Raw genomic sequence first — 23264 nt, 5'->3', positions numbered from 1 at the left:
GAGGCCGAGGTGGGCAGATCACGAGGTCAGGAGGTCAAGACCATCCTGGCCAACATGGTGAAACCCCGTCTCTACTAAAAATACAAAATTCATCAGCCGCGGTGGTGGTGCACGCCTGTAATCCCAGCTACTCGGGAGGCTGAGGCAGGAGAATCGCTTGAACCAGGGAGTCGGAGGTTGCAGTGAGCCAAGATCATGACAGTGCACTCCAGCCTGGTGACAGAGCGAGACTCTGTATCAAAAAAAAAAAAAAAAAGAAAAAAAAAAAGAAAAAAAGAACGGGGAGACAGAGAATATTGACTTGAAAAGGTGCCAAGCCTTTGGCATCCCTCCAGCCGTGTCCAGAGAGAAAGCTGTGTTCTGCCCACTCTCCCTCCCTCTGGGCTTTGGTTGACTGCTGCACCCTCTCTCTGTCTTGCTCCATAGGGCATGGTGGAAAAGTGGCTCCAGCAGGTGGAGCAGATGATGCTGGCCAGTATGCGAGAAGTCATTGGACTTGGGATTGAAGCATATGTCAAGGTAAACAAGAACCGGGGTACACATGCCAGGACACTAGTGCACTAAAGAGAACATTGGGGAGAAGGTTCATGTGTCAGTAGTTTGGCTGGACCCTCTGCTTTCTACCAAAACCTGTCCCTCTGCACCTCTCTTTCCTTCACTTGTGAACCCTGGGGCAATGAACCTATTCCTGGTGAAATACTGGCAGTTAGAAGCAGGTGATGCAAGAGAAGAGGGTTAGCTGGAACCCTCTGGTTGCCACGGACCAGTCCTTTTTGTCAAATGGGATTAATGGCACGAAGTCTATTTAGAGTCCCTTCCAATTAATAATTCATTTACCTTACAGATGCCCTGAGTGGCATAACTCATTGTGTTCCCAAAGCTTAAAGGGAAATAGGTATGACGTAAGGCTTAAGACAAAAGAATCTATCAGAATAACTTGGTACCCAGCCTGTAGTCACATTCACGTTGAGCGACTCTAGCTCTCTTTCTTCTTTTTTTTTTTTTTTGAGATGGAGTCTCACTCTGTCTCCCAGGGCTGAAATGCAGTGGTACGATCTTGGCTCACTGCAACCTCCACCTCCTGGGTTCAAGCGATTCTCCTGCCTCAGCCTCCCAAGTAGCTAGGACTACAGGCAACCACCACCACACCTGGCTAATTTTTGTATTTTTCGTAGAGATGTGGTTTCACCATGTTGGCCAGGCTGGTCTCGAACTCCTGACCTCAAATGATCCACTTGCCTCGGTCTCCCAAAGTGCTGGGATTACAGGCATGAGCCACTGTGCCCGGCTGACTGACTCTAACTTTCTTACTTTCTTATTCCCAGCACCCACAGAACAAAGCAATACTCAACACCCTCACACTAAAGTCCTGGGGACTGACCCTGCTGTCCCTTGACACAGTATTTGCATTGTAAAATGAAAGACCAGTCCCTTTTCCTATGACATGCTCTGAATCAAAAATTAAAGAAAAGCAGTTACCAGTATGAAATTATTTCATCCAAATCAAATCTATCAAATTTTATCCTCAGATCAAACTTTTTCTGTAAAGAGCCAGATAGTAAATATTTTCAACTCTGCAGGCCACATTCCCAATGCAACTATTTTTTAAAATAAATTTTATTGCATATATTTAAGGTATACAACATAATGTTATAAGACACATATGTATAGTAAATGGGTACTGTAGCTTTGCCCTTGTGGCACAAAAGCATCAGACAATATTTAAATGATGGGCATGGCTGTATTTCTTTTTTTTAAATTTTTTTAAATTTTATTTTATTTTACTTTAAGTTCTGGGATACATGTGCAGAACATGCAGGTCTGTTACATAGGTATACATGTACCATGGTGGTTTGCTGCACCTATCAACCCATCGTATAGGTTTTAAGCCCCGCATGCATTAGGTATTTGTCCTAATGTTCTCCCTCTCCTTGCCCCCCACCTCCTAACAGGCCCCAGTGTGTGATGTTCTCCTCCTTGTGTCCATGTGTTCTCATTGTTCAACTCCCACTTATGAGTGAGAACATGCAGTGTTTGGTTTTCTGTTCCCGTGTTAGTTTGCTGAGAATGATGGCTTCCAGCTTCATCCACGTCCCTGCAAAGGACATGAACTCATTCTTTTGTATGCTGCGGCTGTATTTCAATACAACTTTATTTATGAAAAAATTTATATACATAGTTTGCCCGCTCCTGATCTGTAGCTTGAGGGAAAGAATTGTGGGGTGGAGAAACAGCTAAAAAAATTGTGACTCAGCACTGCAATATTATGTAGCCATTAAAAAACAGTAGTTATGAGAACTCTCTGAACATCACCTTGATTATAACTATGGAAAAATTTGATAAATGGGAGCATGGAAAAAATGCAAAGTTGATGAGATGATTGGTGTTTTTTCTTTTTCTTTTTCATAAAACTCAGAAAGGAAGACATAAATCAGTAATTCCAGAGATGTCAAGCCTTGTAGCGTCTGAGGATGGGGGAAGATTTTGTTTTTGTTGCGGTGGTGAGGTGGTTGGGGCATGTTTTCGTAAACTCAGTTTAAACCACACGTGAACTGATCCTATAACATGCCCACTGTGCTTTTCCAGGTCCCTCGAAATCACTGGGTCTTACAGTGGCCTGGACAGGTGGTTATCTGTGTCTCCTCCATCTTTTGGACCCAGGAGGTGTCCCAAGCCCTGGCGGAAAATACCTTACTGGTAAGTGAACTTGCTGCAAAGTTACAGAAGAGATCCAAGCATCAATTAGGATTTGAATGACGTATAATTAGAGTAGCCATGTTTTGTTGTCTAAACAAAAATCATTTGGTCTCAGCATCACAGACATCAGGGTTCCCATGAGGACAGTGGGATGGAGAATTTGGGATTCGAGCTGTCCTGCAATTCTATGGTACGAGACCTCTCATAGTCCTTCCCAGACAGAAATTCTGGACTGCAGGATTCTAAGTCTTATACCCTTGGCTTCTGGGGGCTAACCTGGCAGAATTTCCACCAGGGGAGACCTCCTATATTCTTCCTAAGCCAAGGGGCCACCATCTGCCTCTCCTTCTCCTTTACAGCCTCCTTCTCATCACCCCTACTCCCTCCCGAATGAACCCACCTCCCGTCCTGCCTTCAGCTTTCTCTTGTGACCAAGTATACTCAAGCATCTGTTTATCCTCAGATCCAAATACACATATTCCCAGCCAAATGATGCCAATGCTTGACTGTTAAGACCTGATGGACTTGAGTTCAAATCCTGACACTGTCTCTTGTTAGCTGCGTGACCATGAGCAACTTAACCCGACTCTCAAGCTCCTTGTCTGTAACATGCAAGGAATTGTCACAACACATCATAATATTGTGGGAGGGTTAAATGAGATGCCAGTAAATGATTCGGTACTTAGACACGAGGCTGTAAACCCTACGGGGAAGAAGCTATGTCTGCTCTGCTCACTATTATATTTCCAGGGGTTAATACAGTGCCCAGCACAGAGTAGATGATCAATAAATATTTGGGGATTTGTTTGTTTGTTTTTAAACTTTTTCTATTTTTTAAACTAGAGACGGGGGTCTCACTATGTTGGCCAGGGTGGTCTCGAACTCCTGGCCTCAAGCAATCCTCCTTGCCTCAGCCTCCCAAAGTGCTGGGAGCCACCATGCCTGACCAAATATTTGTTAAATGGATGAATGAAAACTTCATACTCAGCCTTTCTTCCATGGTTTGATTCTCCATGAATATCTCACCAGACCTCCTGTTACTCCTCTTAGAGGATTGGCTGTGGATTAGAATATGTTTTAATTTCCTATATTTTGCTGTATAAATTGAAATTAGAACATTAATATTTGGCCAGTGTTTAAACTTATACAGATTCCATATTGATAAATCCTAATAGACATATTGCACTGTACACATGCAAACTGCTTTCACGTACATCATTTCAAACTTTAGAAACTAAAATCCTCTGACTTTTGTGATGGTATCTCTGACTTTTTGTGATGGAGGTGGATTCATGTGCCCCAGTTTTCCCACCCATAGTTAGGGAGAATGTTTCCCGTCATACATCCAGGCCCTGGTGTGCATGCATGCTGTGTGATGTGTCTCCGTATCCTAAAGGAAGCAGGTGTTGACACAGAATAATCATCCTTCCCTTCCTCCAACCATTTATTGTTCATTTAACAAATATTGATTTGGCATCTGCTCTGTGCTGGTACTGCTGCTAACGAAGGTAATTAGATGTGAATGAGACAGACATAGTCCCTCTCCTCATGGATTTATAGTCTAGTGGGAGAGAGAAAAAGGCTCTTTTACAGAACTGTGATAAGGAAAGAACAGACATCCAGTAAGTATGGGAAGGGAGGGAGGCAGGGAGGGAGGGAGGGTTTAAAGAAGGAAGGAAGGAAGGGAGAGAGGGAGGGAGGGAGGGAGGAAAAAAGAAGGAAGGAAAGAGTAAGAGAGTGAGGGGAGGGAAGTTAGGATTGGGGAAGATTTCCCAGAAAAGTGGTGTCTAAGAAAAGACCTGAAATATAAGTAGGGATTAGCTGAGCAGAAAATAGGAGGGAGAGTGTTCCAGAGAGAAGAACTGGAGTATGCAAAAGCCTGAAGATGAACAGCATGGTGTATTCCAGCAGGAAGACACTTCGGTCTATAATAGCTGAGCAATGGGTGTGGGTAGGAGAGATGTGGGGAGAAGCCCCAACACCACATACACTACCTCATTTAATCCTCAACACAGCTTGAAGAGGCAGCTATAATCATCTAGATTCAGGGCAGGATACGGTGGCTCATGCCTGTAATCCCAATAGTTTGGGAGGCCAAGGCGGGAGGATTGCTTGAGGCCAGGAGTTCAAGACCAGCCTGGGCAACACAGTGAGACCCCATCTCTACAAATAGTTAGCCAGGAGTGATGGTGTGTGCTTGTGGTCCCAGCTACTCAGGCGGCTGAGGTGGGAGGATTGCTTGAGCTCAGGAGGTCGAGGTTTCAGTGAGCCATGTTTGTGCCTGTGCACTCCTGCCTAGGTGACAGAGCAAGACCCCATCTCAAAAAAAAAAAAAAAAAATCTGCATTTGACACACACCAGGAGACTGAGACTCAGAAGCATAAAATCATTTGCCAAGAGCCACATAGCTAGAAAGTAGGGAAGGTAGGATTTTAACCTAGGGTGGTCTTACTTTTTTTCCTTTTTAAGTTTTCTTTTTATTTTATTTTTTGCCTCTTTAATTTGAAATAACATGAAACTTATAAATAATGCTGAAAATATAATACAAAGATATAATACAAAGAATTTCCATATATCTTTCATCCAGATTCCTCATATATTAACATCTTAGACAACCATAGTACAGTTATCCAAATCAGGAAATCAACACTGATACGATTTTATTCTCTACTCTATAGACCTTTCTAAATTGGCTAATTTAAATTTTGTCATCTTGAAAAAGAAATGACAGGCCGGGCGTGGTGGCTCATGCCTGTATTCCCAGCACTTTGGGAGGCCAAGGTGGGTGAATCACTTGAGGTCAGGAGTTTGAGACCAGCCTGGCCAACATGGCAAAACCCCATCTCTACTAAACATACAAAGATTAGCTGAGTGTGGTGGTGCACACCTGTAGTCCTAGCTATTTGGGAGGCTGAGTCAGGCTCTGTCTCAAAATAAATAAATAAATAAATAAAATTAGCCAATTGCCCTACTGTCTTTTTTTTTTTTTCTGGTCCAGGATGCAATCTAGGATTACATGTTGCATTTTGTTTTTATAGCTCCTTTGTCTCTTTAATGTGAAAAAGTTTCCAGTTTGGGAGGTTAATTCTGATTTATGGTATATACAGTGAAATTCACCTTTTTTAGCATACGGTTCTCAGTTTTGATAAACACATGCATTTGTGTAGGCCATCACAATCAATATATAGGACAGTTCCACACCACCCAAAAAAAATGTCCTCAGGCCCTTTGTAGTCAGTTGCATTCTCTACTCCAAGCCTCCAGTAATTACCAAGGTATTTTCTGCTCACTCCTATAATTTTGCCTTTTCCACAATACTATAAAAATAAAATCATGCAGTATGAAACCTTCCAAATCTTGCCTCTTTCAGCATAATGCATTAGGAATTCATTCAGAGATTAAGGACTGGGGTAAGGAAAAGTTGGACTTGAGGGATGACACCCAGGAGTCTGGCTTGAGCCATCCGGTGGTCCATGGTACCATTTCTTGACATGGGGATTACCAGAGGAGAGTCAAATGTAACCAGTTGTCCCCTCCTCTGCCCCTTCCAGGATTTTCTGAAAAAGAGCAATGATCAGATTGCGCAGATTGTCCAGCTGGTGCGAGGGAAGCTGAGCAGTGGAGCTCGACTCACTCTCGGGGCCCTCACGGTCATCGATGTCCACGGTAAGCCAGGGGGCTTCCCCTGTCATTACTGACTATCCAGGAGAAGCAGTCTAGTCTTGCTCATCTCAGTTCTCCTGGACGGAATAATTCAGGGTTTCCTTCCTCATTAGGGAGAGCTTTCTCCAACTGAGAGTAAGATGAGAGCCAAAGGGCTCTGCATCCCTCCACCTGTGTTTCCTCTCCCATCCGCAACCTGATTTCCAGGGACCCTCCAAGCAGGGCTTGTACTGAGACAATGATGGCCAAAGTCATTTCTGAGCTTCACCAACGTGGAATCATTTCCTTGGCTAGCCGTAGATAATATTTTTGAATGCTTGCTAGGTGCCAGGCTTTGTGCTAAGTGATTGACATACATTATCTCATTTTCATAGATATTTCACAGATTCAGAACCTGGGGCTTAGAGAGGTAACTAACTTGCTGAGAGGCATACAGCTATAATAGTAAGCAACAGAATCGCCTATGTCTGTCTGCTTCCAAGCCTAAGGGACTGGAAATGGGCAATGTTGCAAGCAGTGGGTGGTGAGAGAGGATGCCTTCCAGCTCCTCCTTTAAAAAGAAGAGGAGGAGGAAGAGGAGGAGGAGGAGGAGGAGGAAAAACTGGGGTCTTTATATAAAACAAACCACCCCCACACCCTCACTCCATCACCAAGGAAACTAGGGCTGGACCAGGCTGGTTGCTTGGGAACAGAGTCTCTTGCTCACACTCCCAGCTCCCTCCTGGCATTTCATGGCATCTCACTCCCCTCAGGTTAATGCTCACTTCAATCTGATTTCATTAGGTAGACCAGCATAACATCAGGGAGGGAGAAGGGAAAATGTGCTCTTCACACGGCCACATACTCAGCTGTTAGGAATAATTGGTGCAGATGTGGTTATACTGCCCAGGGTACCCCAGTGTGGTTGGGTTCACAAACACAAGCATGCATGTATGCACACATGTACACAATGGCACATACACACACACATGCAAGTGCACATACACACACTGTATAGCGAAGGCATCCCCAACTCAAACCCTTGAAATTCGCTTTCCTCTTGGATCCCTCAGGCATACCATACTCCTGCCCTATACCCTCTTCCTTGGGAGAATGTATCAGGTGGTTCCCCTATATATTCACCCAAGAGCCAGGAGGGGAATTAAATTCCTTGGGAAGGAAGAAAAAGCTGTGGATATAATCTTCTTCAAGGACTCTTCCCTGCAGGGTTTTTTATTTTACTGTAATAAAGAAGACTCTGTCACAGAGAGGAAGGAAAGGCTCAATGGAAGCAACCCTTTGAAAAGTGACGTTTCTGAGGTCCTAATTTTGAGTCGGCTGTACTAGCTCTGAGATCTCCATAGCTCTCCACCTGAGTTACCAAAAACGTAATGAATGATTCTCATCAGCCTAGATCCACTCTTCAACTTCAAGGCCCCTGTCACTTGGATAAAATTAAATCAGGGCTTACGTTCCCATGAGAGAAAAAAGAAGAGCTAGAAATGTATCTCCCAGCTGGTTTCTCAGGCCCCCAGATGGAAAGGATACATCTAACCATGGATTCTCGGGCTTCCTTCCCCTGCTATATAAGGCCACGCTGATTGCATTCTCCTAGGATATCCTAGGGGCCTGAAATGGGACCAAAAGGGTTATACTGGAAATAGGATGGAATTTGGAGTCACTATGCATTGCAAAGCTCTCTGGCTCAGACTTCCAAGAATTTGGGGATGATAACAATAGCTAATACCTGTATAACATTTTCATATGCCAAGGACAGCTCTCTTTCTCTCTCTATTGTGTCTAGCTGTAGATATGTATGTATGTACCTATATATTCATTTAATCCTCATGATAACTCTATAATGTAGGTACTATGTTATCCCTATTTTACAGATTACACAACTGAAGAACAGAGAGGTCAAGGAACTTACCCAAAGTCACATAGCTAGGTCATGGTGGAATCAGAATTTGAACGCAGCCAGTCTGATTTCAGAGCACGCACCTTTTAATACCTCTGCCGTGCTGTCTGAGAGAAGATAGTGCAGCAGATTCTCTGCCTGGCTTTGGGAGAAAGCAAAGACCAGCTTCTAACAGATATTGCTGCCTGCAGGTTGGGGGTGGGCAAGGAGGCTTGTGAAATCTAAAATTGTTTGGGCTGGGCACGGTGGCTCACGCCTGTAATCTCAGCACTTTGGGAGGCCGAGGCAGGCGGATCACTTGAGGTTAGAAGTTGGAGACCAGCCTGGCCAACATGTTGAAACCCCATCTCTACTAAAAATACAAAAATTAGCCAGGTGTGGTGGCGTGCGCCTATAATCCCAGCTATTTGGGAGGCTGAGGCAGGAGAATCGCTTGAACCCAGGAGGCAGAGGTTGCAATGAGCCGAGATCGCGCCATTGCACTCCAGAATGGGGGACAGAGCGAGACTCCATCGCAAAAAATAAATAAAATAAAATAAAATAAAATAGTTTGGAGAATGGGGGACCTTGATAACATCCACTTGTAACTGAGGAGCTTACAAAGATGGAGAGTTCTGATGGCTCTGTGTGCGTGTTTCTGCATCTGTGTCCCAACAGCCCGCGACGTGGTGGCCAAGTTATCTGAGGACAGGGTCTCCGATCTGAATGATTTCCAATGGATCTCACAGCTGCGCTACTACTGGGTGGCCAAGGATGTGCAGGTGCAGATTATCACCACAGAAGCCTTGTATGGCTATGAGTACCTGGGAAACTCCCCCCGGCTGGTGATCACACCCCTCACCGACCGCTGCTACAGGTACACTCTGGAGCTCCTAGATCTGAGGGGTGAACGGAGAACTCCAGGGGAAGAAGACTCTGGGGAGGAAAGTTAGGGATGTCTTGGGTTACCTTTACCCTTCACACTTCAGATTATTAGATTCTCCATAGTCCCAAAGATGGGCATGCAAACTAGGTCTTCAGGCTAGACATGAGAACCCAGTAGGAATTCTAGTGCAAATCAATGTATTTGAACCAACAAGTGGAATATTGGTGCACATCCGTGAACATGACACAGGACTTAACGTAGAGGGCTCTCCAATGGCAGGAATCAAGATGGTGCCTGGAGATCCTATGGCCATAAGATAGACAAGAAGTGAGGTCAAGAACGTAGCCAAGGGGTCTCTATGCTCTGCCAGCCAGTCTCATGAAAAAAGCTGGCCATTCTGTGCTCAGCAAAGTCCTCTGACATTTTCTGTGGAACTCAGCCTTTGAGATCGGGATTTTGTGAACTTGTCGGTTTTGTGATGTTTAGATGTTCTTTGCTTTTATATATTTCCTTACAGTGAGAGTTTTTTAGATTGTAAAACTAATACTTGGGAGTATTTTCTCCCTTCAAAATCCTCAACCACTTGTTTTTTATGGTCTATGATTTTTGCTCTTCATTCATTTATTTATTCCACTTATTATTCAACAACCATTTTTTGAGGTTTCCTGTGCACCATGCATGACCTCAAGAAACCCTAAATCTAACTGGGGGGTCGGGAGAGACATATTCAAATGATTACAAGATAGAGTGCTAAATGAAAACATAGAAACTCATACCATGGGCCATGGAACCACAGTTATTACATCATTCATTTCTAACATTTATCTTGCACCTATTACATGCCAGGAGCTGTATTAATTTACTGAGGTTATGAAATGGAATCAAATATGATTCCTGAACTTTAGAGTTCATAATCTAGCTGGGCATGGTGGCTCACGCCTGTAGTCTCAGCACTTTGGAAGGCCAAGGTGGGTGGATCACTTGATCCCAGAAGTTTGAGACCAACCCGCTTGGGCAACATGGCAAAATCCCATCTCTACAAAAAATATGAAAATTAACTGGGTGTGGTGGTGTGTGCCTGTAAGTCCCAGCTACTTGGGAGGCTGAGATGGGAGTATCACTTGGGCCCAGGAGGTCAAGGCTGCAGTGAGCTGTGACCATGCCTCTGCACTCCAGCCTGGGCGACAGAGTGAGAACCTGTCTCAAAAGAAAAAAAAGAATTCATAATCTAGTTGGAGAAATATATTTTAACCATTCCATTAGCACTGGTGATCTTTGGAATGTAGAGTTTATGAGTATTCTCACTTTTATTTGATTCATTTATATAGGTATGCATGTATTCATTTATTCATTCAAACAAATATTCATGGGTGCCACTCATGTGCTGGACACTGTGCTGGGCTCTGAGGTTACAATGCCGAGTAAAATACAGTGATATTGTATTGCTCATATAATTGGGAAAAATTTTAACTATTTGGTTGGTGCAAAAGTCATCGCGGCTTTTAGCATTACTTTCAATGGCAAAAACTGCAATCACTTTTGCACTAACCTAAATATTTGTATGAGTCAAAATAAATGAAAAGCCGGTTTCTTTCCTGTGTCTTAGACCTCAAGCACTGAAGTTCTATTTTCTTCCCCATAGGACACTGATGGGAGCTTTGAAGCTGAACCTTGGGGGTGCTCCAGAGGGTCCAGCTGGGACTGGCAAGACAGAAACCACCAAAGATTTGGCCAAAGCCTTGGCTAAGCAGGTAAGCAAATGCCATCTATCCCCTCCCTCTCTTCCAGGCCCTCTCTGCACCCCTCCTGTGGGAAGTAGGCATCAACTTTAAGATGGTTTAGCATTAACAGGCAGCATGGGCCCCAGCTCCTTCAAGCAGAGCAAGGAGAGAGGAGCCCACTGCTGTTGAATGGTGCGGGGTAATTCAGATGGGATGGAATCCACCCTGAATGATACCCACATCCTCCCTCTTTCTAGTGTGTGGTCTTCAACTGCTCCGATGGTTTGGATTACAAAGCTATGGGGAAGTTCTTCAAGGGGCTGGCACAGGCTGGAGCATGGGCGTGCTTTGATGAGTTCAACAGGATCGAGGTAACTCTGCCTCTAGGCTGCAGAACAAAGAAGCTGTGCATGGAGGGGCTTTTTTCTTGGCTCTGCACCCCTTAATAACAGGGCCTTATATCTCTTGTATGGCAGACACAAGAACCTCCAAAGCAGGTACTCAGTGAACTAAACAAAAGGACTCTCAAGGAGACAGATGCATGTTTTATACACATAGCCCCATCTCCCCATCATATTAATTCATTCACTTGCCCATAGTAGCTACTGAGCAGCTACTATACATCAGAGATTCTGCATAAGTTCATGCAACAGAGATGAGCATGAAATGGTTGTATAGCCAGGCACAGAGGCTCACACCTGTAATCCTGACACTTTGGGAGGCCAAGGTGGGAGGATCACTTGAGCCCAGGAGTCTGAGACCAGCCTGGGCAACACAGTTGAGACCCTGTCTCTACAAAAATAAAATAGCCTCAGCTATTCAAGAGGCTGAGGCAGGAGGATTGCTTGAGCCCAGGAGTTCGAGGCTGAAGTGAGCTTTGATGCCGCCACTGCATTCCAGCCTGGGTGAGAGTGAGACTTTGTCTCTTAAAAAAAAAAAAAGTCTTGGCTGAGCGCGGTGGCTCACACCTGTTATTTCAGCACTTTGGGAGGCCAAGGCAGGTGGATCATCTGAGGTCAGGAGTTCAAGACCAGCCTGGCCAACATGGTGAAACCCTGTCTCTACTAAAAATATAAAAATCAGCTGGGCATGGTGGTGAGTGCCTGTAACCCCAGCTACTCGGGAGGCTGAAGCAGGAGAATGGCTTGAACCTGGGAGGCGGAGGTTGCAATGAGCCAAGATCTAACCATTGCACTCCAGGCTGGGAGTGAAACTCTGTTTAAAAAAAAAAAAAAGGAGGGAGGAGCCAAGATGGCCGAATAGGAACAGCTCCGGTCTACAGCTCCCAGCGTGAGCGACGAAGAAGACGGGTGATTTCTGCATTTCCATCTGAGGTACCGGGTTCATCTCACTCGGGAGTGCCAGACAGTGGGCGCAGGTCAGTGGGTGCGTGCACCGTGCGCCAGCCGAAGCAGGGCGAGGCATTGCCTCACCTGGGAAGCGCAAGGGGTCAGGGAGTTCCCTTTCTGAGTCAAAGAAAGGGGTGACAGACGGCACCTGGAAAATCGGGTCACTCCCACCCGAATACTGCGCTTTTCTGATGGGCTTAAAAAACGGGGCACCACGAGATTATATCCTGCACCTGGCTCGGAGGGTCCTACGCCCACGGAGTCTCGCTGATTGCTAGCACAGCAGTCTGAGATCAAACTGCAAGACGGCAGCCTGGCTGGGGGAGGGGCGCCCGCCATTGCCCAGGCTTGATTAGGTAAACAAAGCAGCCTGGAAGCTCGAACTGGGTGGAGCCCACCACAGCTCAAGGAGGCCTGCCTGCCTCTGCAGGCTCCACCTCTGGGGGCAGGGCACAGACAAACAAAAAGACAGCAGTAACCTCTGCAGACTTAAATGTCCCTGTCTGACAGCTTTGAAGAGAGGAGTGGTTCTCACAGCAAGCAGCTGGAGATCTGAGAACGGGCAGACTGCTTCCTCAAGTGGGTCCCTGACCCCTGACCCCCGAGCAGCCTAACTGGGAGGCACCCCCCAGCAGGGGCACACTGACACCTCACACGGCAGGGTACTCCAACAGACCTGCAGCTGAGGGTCCTCTCTGTTAGAAGGAAAACTAACAAACAGAAAGGACATCCACACCAAAAACCCATCTGTACATCACCATCATCAAAGACCAAAAGTAGATAAAACCACAAAGATGGGGAAAAAACAGAACAGAAAAACTGGAAACTCTAAAAAGCAGAGCACCTCTCCTCCTCCAAAGGAACGCAGTTCCTCACCAGCAACGGAACAAAGCTGGATGGAGAATGGCTTTGACGAGCTGAGAGAAGAAGGCTTCAGACGATCAAATTACTCTGAGCTATGGGAGGACATTCAAACCAAAGGCAAAGAAGTTGAAAACTTTGAAAAAAATTTAGAAGAATGTATAACTAGAATAACCAATACAGAGAAGTGCTTAAAGGAGCTGATGGAGCTGAAAACCAAGGCTAGAGAACTACGTGAAGAATGCAGAAGCCTCAGGAGCCGGTGCGATCAACTGGAAGAAAGGGTATCAGCGATGGAAGATGAAATGAATGAAATGAAGCGAGAAGGGAAGTCTAGAGAAAAAAGAATAAAAAGAAATGAGCAAAGCCTCCAAGAAATATGGGACTATGTGAAAAGACCAAATCTACGTCTGATTGGTGTACCTGAAAGTGATGGGGAGAATGGAACCAAGTTGGAAAACACTCTGCAGGATATTATCCAGGAGAACTTCCCCAATCTAGCAAGGCAGGCCAACGTTCAGATTCAGGAAATACAGAGAATGCCACAAAGATACTCCTCGAGAAGAGCAACTCCAAGACACATAATTGTCAGATTCACCAAAGTTGAAATGAAGGAAAAAATGTTAAGGGCAGCCAGAGAGAAAGGTCGGGTTACCCTCAAAGGGAAGCGCGTCAGAGTAACAGCGGATCTCTCTGCAGAAACCCTACAAGCCAGAAGAGAGTGGGGGCCAATATTCAACATTCTTAAAGAAAAGAATTTTCAACCCAGAATTTCATATCCAGCCAAACTAAGCTTCATAAGTGAAGGAGAAATAAAATACTTTACAGACAAGCAAATGCTGAGAAATTTTGTCACCACCAGGCCTGCCTTACAAGAGCTCCTGAAGGAAGCACTAAACATGGAAAGGAACAACCGGTACCAGCCGCTGCGAAATCATGCCAAAATGTAAAGACCATCGAGACTAGGAAGAAACTGCATCAACTAACGAGCAAAATAACCAGCTAACATCATCATGACAGGATCAAATTCACACATAACAACATTAACTTTAAATGTAAATGGACTAAATGCTCCAATTAAAAGACACAGACTGGAAAATTGGATAAAGAGTCAAGACCCATCAGTGTGCTGTATTCAGGAAACCCATCTCACATGCAGAGACACACATAGGCTCAAAATAAAAGGATGGAGGAAGATCTACCAAGCCAATGAAAAACAAAAAAAGGCAGGGGTTGCAATCCTAGTCTCTGATAAAACAGACTTTAAACCAACAAAGATCAAAAGAGACAAAGAAGGCCATTACATAATGGTAAAGGGATCAATTCAACAAGAAGAGCTAACTATCCTAAATATATTTGCACCCAATACAGGAGCACCAAGATTCATAAAGCAAGTCCTGAGTGACCTACAAAGAGACTTAGACTCCCACACATTAATAATGGGAGACTTTAACACCCCACTGTCAACATTAGACAGATCAATGAGACAGAAAGTCAACAAGGATACCCAGGAATTGAACTCAGCTCTGCACCAAGCGGACCTAATAGACATCTACAGAACTCTCCACCCCAAATCAACAGAATATACATTTTTTTCAGCACCACACCACACCTATTCCAAAATTGACCACATACTGGGAAGTAAAGCTCTCCTCAGCAAATGTAAAAGAACAGAAATTATAACAAACTATCTCTCAGACCACAGGGCAATCAAATTAGAACTCAGGATTAAGAATCTCACTCAAAACCGCTCAACTACATGGAAACTGAACAACCTGCTCCTGAATGACTACTGGGTACATAACGAAATGAAGGCAGAAATAAAGATGTTCTTTGAAACCAACGAGAACAAAGACACAACATACCAGAATCTCTGGGACGCATTCAAAGCAGTGTGTAGAGGGAAATTTATAGCACTAAATGCCCACAAGAGAAAGCAGGAAAGATCCAAAATTGACACCCTAACTTCACAATTAAAAGAACTAGAAAAGCAAGAGCAAACACATTCGAAAGCTAGCAGAAGGCAAGAAATAACTAAAATCAGAGCAGAACTGAAGGAAATAGAGACACAAAAAACCCTTCAAAAAATTAATGAATCCAGGAGCTGGTTTTTTGAAAGGATCAACAAAATTGATAGACTGCTAGCAAGACTAATAAAGAAAAAAAGAGAGAAGAATCAAATAGACACAATAAAAAATGATAAAGGGGATATCACCACCGATCCCACAGAAATACAAACTACCATCAGGGAATACTACAAACACCTCTACGCAAATAAACTAGAAAATCTAGAAGAAATGGATAAATTCCTGGACACATACACTCTCCCAAGACTAAACCAGGAAGAAGTTGAATCTCTGAATAGACCAATAACAGGAGCTGAAATTGTGGCAATAATCAATAGCTTACCAATCAAAAAGAGTCCAGGACCAGATGGATTCACAGCCGAATTCTACCAGAGGTACAAGGAGGAACTGGTACCATTCCTTCTGAAACCATTCCAATCAATAGAAAAAGAGGGAATCCTCCCTAACTCATTTTATGAGGCCAGCATCATTCTGATACCAAAGCCAGGCAGAGACACAACAAAAAAAGAGAATTTTAGACCAATATCCTTGATGAACATCGATGCAAAAATCCTCAATAAAATACTGGCAAACCGAATCCAGCAGCACATCAAAAAGCTTATCCACCCTGATCAAGTAGGCTTCATCCCTGGGATGCAAGGCTGGTTCAATATCCGCAAATCAATAAATGTAATCCAGCATATAAACAGAGCCAAAGACAAAAACCACATGATTATCTCAATAGATGCAGAAAAAGCCTTTGACAAAATTCAACAACCCTTCATGCTAAAAACTCTCAATAAATTAGGTATTGATGGGACGTATTTCAAAATAATAAGAGCTATCTATGACAAACCCACAGCCAGTATCATACTGAATGGGCAAAAACTGGAAGCATTCCCTTTGAAAACTGGCACAAGACAGGGATGCCCTCTCTCACCACTCCTATTCAACATAGTGTTGGAAGTTCTGGCCAGGGCAATTAGGCAGGAGAAGGAAATAAAGGGTATTCAATTAGGAAAAGAGGAAGTCAAATTGTCCCTGTTTGCAGACGACATGATTGTATATCTAGAAAACCCCATTGTCTCAGCCCAAAATCTCCTTAAGCTGATAAGCAACTTCAGCAAAGTCTCAGGATACAAAATCAATGTACAAAAATCACAAGCATTCTTATACACCAACAACAGACAAACAGAGAGCCAAATCATGAGTGAACTCCCATTCACAATTGCTTCAAAGAGAATAAAATACCTAGGAATCCAACTTACAAGGGATGTGAAGGACCTCTTCAAGGAGAACTACAAACCACTGCTCAACAAAATAAAAGAGGACACAAACAAATGGAAGAACATTCCATGCTCATGGGTAGGAAGAATCAATATCATGAAAATGGCCATACTGCCCAAGGTAATTTACAGATTCAATGCCATCCCCATCAAGCTACCAATGACTTTCTTCACAGAATTGGAAAAAACTACTTTAAAGTTCATATGGAACCAAAAAAGAGCCCGCATCGCCAAGTCAATCCTAAGCCAAAAGAACAAAGCTGGAGGCATCACCCTACCTGACTTCAAACTATACTACAAGGCTACAGTAACCAAAACAGCATGGTACTGGTACCAAAACAGAGATATAGATCAATGGAACAGAACAGAGCCCTCAGAAATAATGCCGCATATCTACAACTATCTGATCTTTGACAAACCTGAGAAAAACAAGCAATGGGGAAAGGATTCCCTATTTAATAAATGGTGCTGGGAAAACTGGCTAGCCATATGTAGAAAGCTGAAACTTGATCCCTTCCTTACACCTTATACAAAAATCAATTCAAGATGGATTAAAGACTTAAACGTTAGACCTAAAACCATAAAAACCCTAGAAGAAAACCTAGGCATTACCATTCAGGACATAGGCATGGGCAAGGACTTCATGTCTAAAACACCAAAAGCAATGGCAACAAAAGACAAAATTGACAAATGGGATCTAATTAAACTAAAGAGCTTCTGCACAGCAAAAGAAACTACCATCAGAGTGAACAGGCAACCTACAAAATGGGAGAAAATTTTTGCAACCTACTCATCTGACAAAGGGCTAATATCCAGAATCTACAATGAACTCAAACAAATTTACAAGAAAAAAACAAACAACCCCATCAAAAAGTGGGCAAAGGACATGAACAGACACTTCTCAAAAGAAGACATTTATGCAGCCAAAAAACACATGAAAAAATGCTCATCATCACTGGCCATCAGAGAAATGCAAATCAAAACCACGATGAGATACCATCTCACACCAGTTAGAATGGCAATCATTAAAAAGTCAGGAAACAACAGGTGCTGGAGAGGATGTGGAGAAATAGGAACACTTTTACACTGTTGGTGGGACTGTAAACTAGTTCAACCATTGTGGAAGTCAGTGTGGCGACTCCTCAGGGATCTAGAACTGGAAATACCATTTGACCCAGCCATCCCATTACTGGGTATATACCCAAATGACTATAAATCATGCTGCTATAAAGACACATGCACACGTATGTTTACTGCAGCATTATTCACAATAGCAAAGACTTGGAACCAACCCAAATGTCCAACAATGATAGACTGGATTAAGAAAATGTGGCACATATGCACCATGGAATACTATGCAGCCATAAAAAATGATGAGTTCATGTCCTTTGTAGGTACATGGATGAAACTGGAAATCATCATTCTCAGTAAACTATCGCAAGAACAAAAAACCAAACACCGCATATTCTCACTCATAGGTGGGAACTGAACAGTGAGATCACATGGACACAGGAAGGGGAATATCACACTCTGGGGACCGTTGTGGGGTGGTGGGAGTGGGGAGGGATAGCATCGGGAGATATACTTAATGCTAGATGACGAGTTAGTGGGTGCAGCGCACCAGCATGGCACATGTATATATATGTAACCTGCACAATGTGCACGTGTACCCTAAAACTTAAAGTATAATAATTAAAAAAAAGAAAAAAGATCTTGCTGTCTAGACTGTTGCGATCTAGTAAAGGGAAATAAAAAATTTAATGAAACAAATACCAACGTGCTAAAAGTCTATAGTAGAAGTACAAAAGATGCATCACAAAAGAGTGTATAATTCTCTTTGGATGATGAATAAAGATCAGGAAATATAAAAATCCCTGATCTTTGAACCAATAAACACAGAATACCTACTGTGTGTCAAGTACTATGCTAGGTGTTGAAACAAAGATAAAGTACTATGGAAACTATTAACACACACACACACGCACATGCACACATGCACAAACCTATATTCTTTTTTCTTACCAAAACCCCAAATCATGCTCCTAATTTTGAATGTGCAGGTGCGGTTTTTGGGTGATTGGGTTCTTTCTTTGCTATGTGGGAGGACTCCGGTAGAGTAGGGTGGTTGTCAGACAGAAGCAGATGCTCTTATCAGCCGGGCATTCTCACCCCAGGTAGAAGTGCTGTCTGTGGTCGCTCAGCAGATCCTCAGCATCCAACAAGCCATCATTCGGAAGCTAAAGACATTCATCTTTGAAGGGACTGAGCTCTCTCTGAACCCAACCTGCGCTGTGTTCATCACCATGAACCCCGGGTATGCTGGCAGGGCTGAACTGCCCGACAATCTCAAGGTAAATGCCAGCAGATATACATGTGGGGTGTGCTTTTTAGAATAGAAACCTCTGGGCCGGGTGTGGCGGCTCACACCTATAATCCCAGCACTTTGGGAGGCCAAGGTGGGCAAATCACCTGAGGTCAGGAGCTCGAGATCAGCCTGTCCAATGTGGTGAAACCCCATCTCTACTAAAAATACAAAAATTAGCCGGGCATGGTGGCATGTACCTGTAATCCCACTCAGCTGCTCAGGAGGCTAAGGCAGAAGAATCAGTTGAATGTGGGAGGCAGAGGTTGTGGTGGCCGGAGATAGCGCCGTTGCACTCAGCCTAGGAGATAAGAGTGAAACTCCATCTCAAAAAAAACAAAGCGAAAGAAAAGAAACCTCTGGAGGTACCTACCTGGGGGTAAATTTATTCCTCCATCCCCTTGGGTGGAAGTGATAAGAGAGACCCAGCTACGCCCATATCCACGGACTTTAGGACATGGTCTACCCCCTGTTACTAATGCATTCTGACTGGTGCCCTGGAAACTTACTCAGATGGACCACTTCTCTCTGAGAAGAGAAAAGAGTCAGAGAGATGCTTCAAGTGGCTCCTCCCATCTAGGTCAACATAGGCCAGTGAAGGCCAAGATAGAATTTGGATCCACATTTCTCTCTCTCTTTTTTTTTGAGATGGAGTCTCATTCTGTCCCCCAGGCTGGAATGCAGTGGCATGATCTTGGCTCACTGCCACATCTGCCTCCCAGGTTCAAGTGATTCTCCTGCCTCAGCTTCCTGAGTAGCTGGGACTATAGCCATGCGCCACCATGCCCAGCTAATTTTTGTATTTTTAGTAGAGATAGAGTCTTACCATGTTGGCCAGGCTGGTCTCAAACTCCTGACCTCAGGCAATTTGCCTGCCTCGGCCTCCCAAAGCACTGGGATTACAGGTGTGAGCCACCAGTCCCAGCCACATTTCTCATTTTTTACTGCCCAGTATTTGTAAGCACCCCCTGCATCCATCCCAGCCAACAGCCATATTAGATCGTCACAAGCAGCTTTCACAATGCCATGGGATAGTAGAAAGCACCCAGGCATGGTGTCAGGAAGCCTAGATTCTAGCCCTGGCTCTAGCTCTAACTGGGTGACTCAGGCAAGTTACTTCTCCTCTAAGATCTAAGATAATAATGCAATAGCTGGTGCATACTGAACACTTACTATGTGCCACATACTCTTGCAAGCACTTCAGTTGCATTCTATCATTTATTCTCATGATAACTCTATGAAGAGGGTAAAGTTAGTCTGTTTTGAGATGAAAGAATAGAGATCTACAAGGGTTGTATAACTTGCCCATGCTAGTCGGTAGCAAAACAAGAACTCAAATCAAGATCTGTCTGGCTGGGCGCGGTAGCTCACGCCTTAATCTGAACACTTTGGGAGGCTGAGGCTGTTGGATCATCTGAGGTCAGGAGTTCAAGACAAGCCTGGCCAACATGATGAAACCCCATCTCTACTAGAAATATAAAAATTAGCTGGGCCTGGTGTTGGGCACCTGTAATCCCCAGGTGTTTGGGAGGCTGAGGCACGAGAATCGCTTGAACCTGGGAGGCGGAGGTTGCAATGAGCCAAGATCGTGCCACTGCCCTCCAGCCTGGGTGACAGAGACTCTGTCTTAAAAAAAAAAAAAAAAAAAAAAAAAAAATCTGTCTGGCTTTGGGATTCTTCTGATGCATATTGGTTCTGCATTCCTAAATGACTTCTGATGTCCATGTTGAACACTGGGAAGCTCCAACAGTTGAGTGATGCTATGAGGTGTCCTCATTTGGCATAGGAGAATGAGGTGTACCAGCACCTAGGGCCTTCCACAGAACCATTGAGGGACCCAATGTAAGTAACAACATGTACCCGCATAGGGCCAGTGGGGAGGTTGGTTGAGCCATGCATTGGCCCACCGAGGATGGTCCATCTGCACTCACTTGTCCCCCAGTCCTTCTTGCCTTTATTGTCACTGGAGTGGCCTGAATGAAGCAAAGCTACTTCCCTTTGCTTCTGTGAATGTGCGTTCCCTCAGTATTCACTGCACGTGTTCCGATTCTGATTTGTTGTTTCTTTTCCAGGCCTTGTTCCGGACAGTGGCCATGATGGTCCCAGATTACGCCCTCATTGGAGAAATCTCCCTCTACTCCATGGGGTTTCTGGACTCCAGAAGGTGTGTTACATGGGTTTTCCAGTGCATTCTAAAGGACTTTAAATAGCGGCTTTTTGCGTGGCAGATTCAAGGTGGTTTGCCCATTGGAAGAAGAGAGAGAAGCTTGAGAAACTTGCTTCTGCTTACTGGGTGGTCTGAGAGCACATAGCCCTGGCCTTGGTCTTGCCCCATTTCTGACGGGGAAATGGCCCAGATTCCCAGGGCGGAACCCTGCTGTCTCTTTACATACACCTGAGTTCTGTTAAAGAAAGTAGCTACTCATATCTTCCTCACCTCTCACTCTAACACATCCATACCCACATTACTAAATGGCTTAAGGCAACAAATAGTATAAGGCCGGGTGTGGTGGCTCACGTCTGTAATCCCAGCACTTTGGCAGGCAAGGCGGGGTATCACTTAAGGCCAAGAGTTTGAGACCAGCCTGGCCAACATGGGGAAACCCTGTCTCTACCAAAAAATTCAAAAATTAGCTGGGCTTGGTGGCGTGCACCTGTAATCCCAGCTACTCAGGAGGCTGAGGGAGGAGAACCACTTGAACCGTGGAGGCGGAGGCTGCAGTGAGCCAAGATTTCACCACTGCACTCCAGCCTGGGTGACGGAGTGAGACCCTGTCTCAAAAAAAAAAAAAAAAAAAAAAGCAACACTATAAAACATATGCAATTATTCCAGAATTGAAGAGGAAAAATTATTAATATAACATTTATTGCCTCCAATTAACTAGGTTATATCTCATTCAAGTATTGTCCAGTTTTCTAAGACACACAGTTATACACGGATCAGTGTCTTCAAGTGTGTACGTGTGTATACACACATACATATAACACATGCACCAAGAGTTATGAATAATCGTTGCAAAATGGCTTGTATTGATCTATTCCAAATTTTATCATGTCAATTGACTTTCTGTTATAATGAATGTCTTTATGGCCTGGATGTCTTTGTTTATAATCCAAGGGGCTACAGAAATTCTCAATAGAATATCACCCTTCCTAGGCCAAGAGGCTGCCTCAGTCATATGACATTTAACTCATTTGTTTTCTATAGTAACCAGGATTGCATTGATTTGCTCACTCAATTCATTTATTTATTTAATTAGCAAACCTTTATTGAGTCACCAACCTTATGCCCAGCCCTGTGCTGGGTGCTGGTGAACAACACAAAGTCTTTGTTTTTAAAGGAAATCAGTTCTGTAAAGAGGATCTCCTTGAGAGAAAAGTGCATAAGTGTATTAGTTAGGGTAACGCTGACCCCTGAATCTCAATGGCTTACCATAACAAAGTTTATTTTTTACTCGCTGAAAATCCAAAATGAGTCTACAGCCATACCACACTGAACGCAGCCAATCTCATCTGAAAATCCAAAGTGGAGTGTAGTGATGCAATCACAGCTCACTGCAGCCTTGAACTCCTGGGCTCAAGAGCTCCTCCCACCCTTAGCCTTCCGAGTAGCTGGGATGACAGGTGCCATGCTACCATGCCCAGCTCATTTTTTAATTTTTCTGTAGAGATAGAGCCTCGCTATGTTGCTGAAGCTGGGCTTGGACTCCTGGCCTCGGACTCCTGGCCTCAAGCGATCCTCCTGCCTCAGCCTCCCAAAGTGCTGAGATCACAGGCATGAGCCACTGCACTTGGCCAAAAACGTATCATTTCATATACCATACATGTTATACATATATGTTCACTTGCTTTTTTTCATGCTTCCATACCACATTATGGTAACTCTATTAAAATATCCTTAAAGGATAGGGCTTCTCCATCAAGTCCATGGGCATGCCTGGTTGCTGACGGGGCAAGGACAAGGATATTGGGAATGTCTGCTGGGCAGGACGTAGTCCTCTCTGGGTGTCCGCATACATGTCTTTGCCCTTCTAGTCTCGCCCAGAAGATCGTTGCGACCTACCGCCTGTGCTCGGAACAACTGTCCTCTCAGCATCACTATGACTACGGTATGCGCGCTGTCAAGTCTGTGCTTACTGCCGCAGGAAACCTGAAGCTCAAGTATCCAGAGGAGAATGAAAGTGTCCTGCTGCTCCGGGCATTGCTTGATGTCAATCTGGCCAAGTTCTTAGCGCAAGATGTCCCTCTGTTTCAGGTATGTAGCGGTTCAGGACCTTGGCCGAGGACCAAGGCTCAATGTTGGAAGATGAAATGTTGTGTTTGGTGCCTTCCCCATACCCTCTTCCATCTTCCATTCTTTGGCCAGCATCTCTGCCACCTGATACCCTCCCTGCAAATGTTAAATAATAAGAGTGATAGATAGCAAACATCTCTGCCTGATTTTTAATAAAAATGGTTTCACTGATAGGATAATATTTGCTCTTGGGTATACATATG

General features: G+C 44.2%; 1 protein-coding gene across 16 annotated transcripts in view, besides 1 other annotated feature; it reads left to right on the top strand.

Annotated features, from left to right (window-relative positions):
- DNAH3 (dynein axonemal heavy chain 3) overlaps positions 1-23264 on the top strand; it is a 226349-nt gene that overhangs the window by 98677 nt on the left and 104408 nt on the right. For all 16 annotated transcript variants that reach the window (XM_017023432.2, NM_017539.2, XM_047434349.1 and 13 more), the window contains 9 exons: positions 427-519; positions 2587-2697; positions 6249-6363; positions 8915-9113; positions 10765-10873; positions 11101-11214; positions 18580-18756; positions 20840-20931; positions 22803-23022. In XM_017023432.2, the coding sequence (XP_016878921.1) occupies positions 427-519; positions 2587-2697; positions 6249-6363; positions 8915-9113; positions 10765-10873; positions 11101-11214; positions 18580-18756; positions 20840-20931; positions 22803-23022 (1230 nt within the window). The remainder of the gene's footprint in view (positions 1-426; positions 520-2586; positions 2698-6248; positions 6364-8914; positions 9114-10764; positions 10874-11100; positions 11215-18579; positions 18757-20839; positions 20932-22802; positions 23023-23264) is intronic.
- Positions 12389-12961: an enhancer, noted in NCBI's record as "NANOG-H3K27ac-H3K4me1 hESC enhancer chr16:21059143-21059715 (GRCh37/hg19 assembly coordinates)". NCBI's record gives its function as "activates a minimal SCP1, AML or CMV promoter by ChIP-STARR-seq in primed H9 embryonic stem cells {active_cell/tissue: H9 hESC(primed)}" and the evidence as "EXISTENCE:reporter gene assay evidence [ECO:0000049][PMID:30033119]".

This window comes from Homo sapiens, chromosome 16 (genome assembly GCF_000001405.40).
Source record: "Homo sapiens chromosome 16, GRCh38.p14 Primary Assembly".
NCBI classification, from domain to species: domain Eukaryota; kingdom Metazoa; phylum Chordata; class Mammalia; order Primates; family Hominidae; genus Homo; species Homo sapiens.
This window is presented reverse-complemented; position numbering and strand designations above follow the sequence as displayed.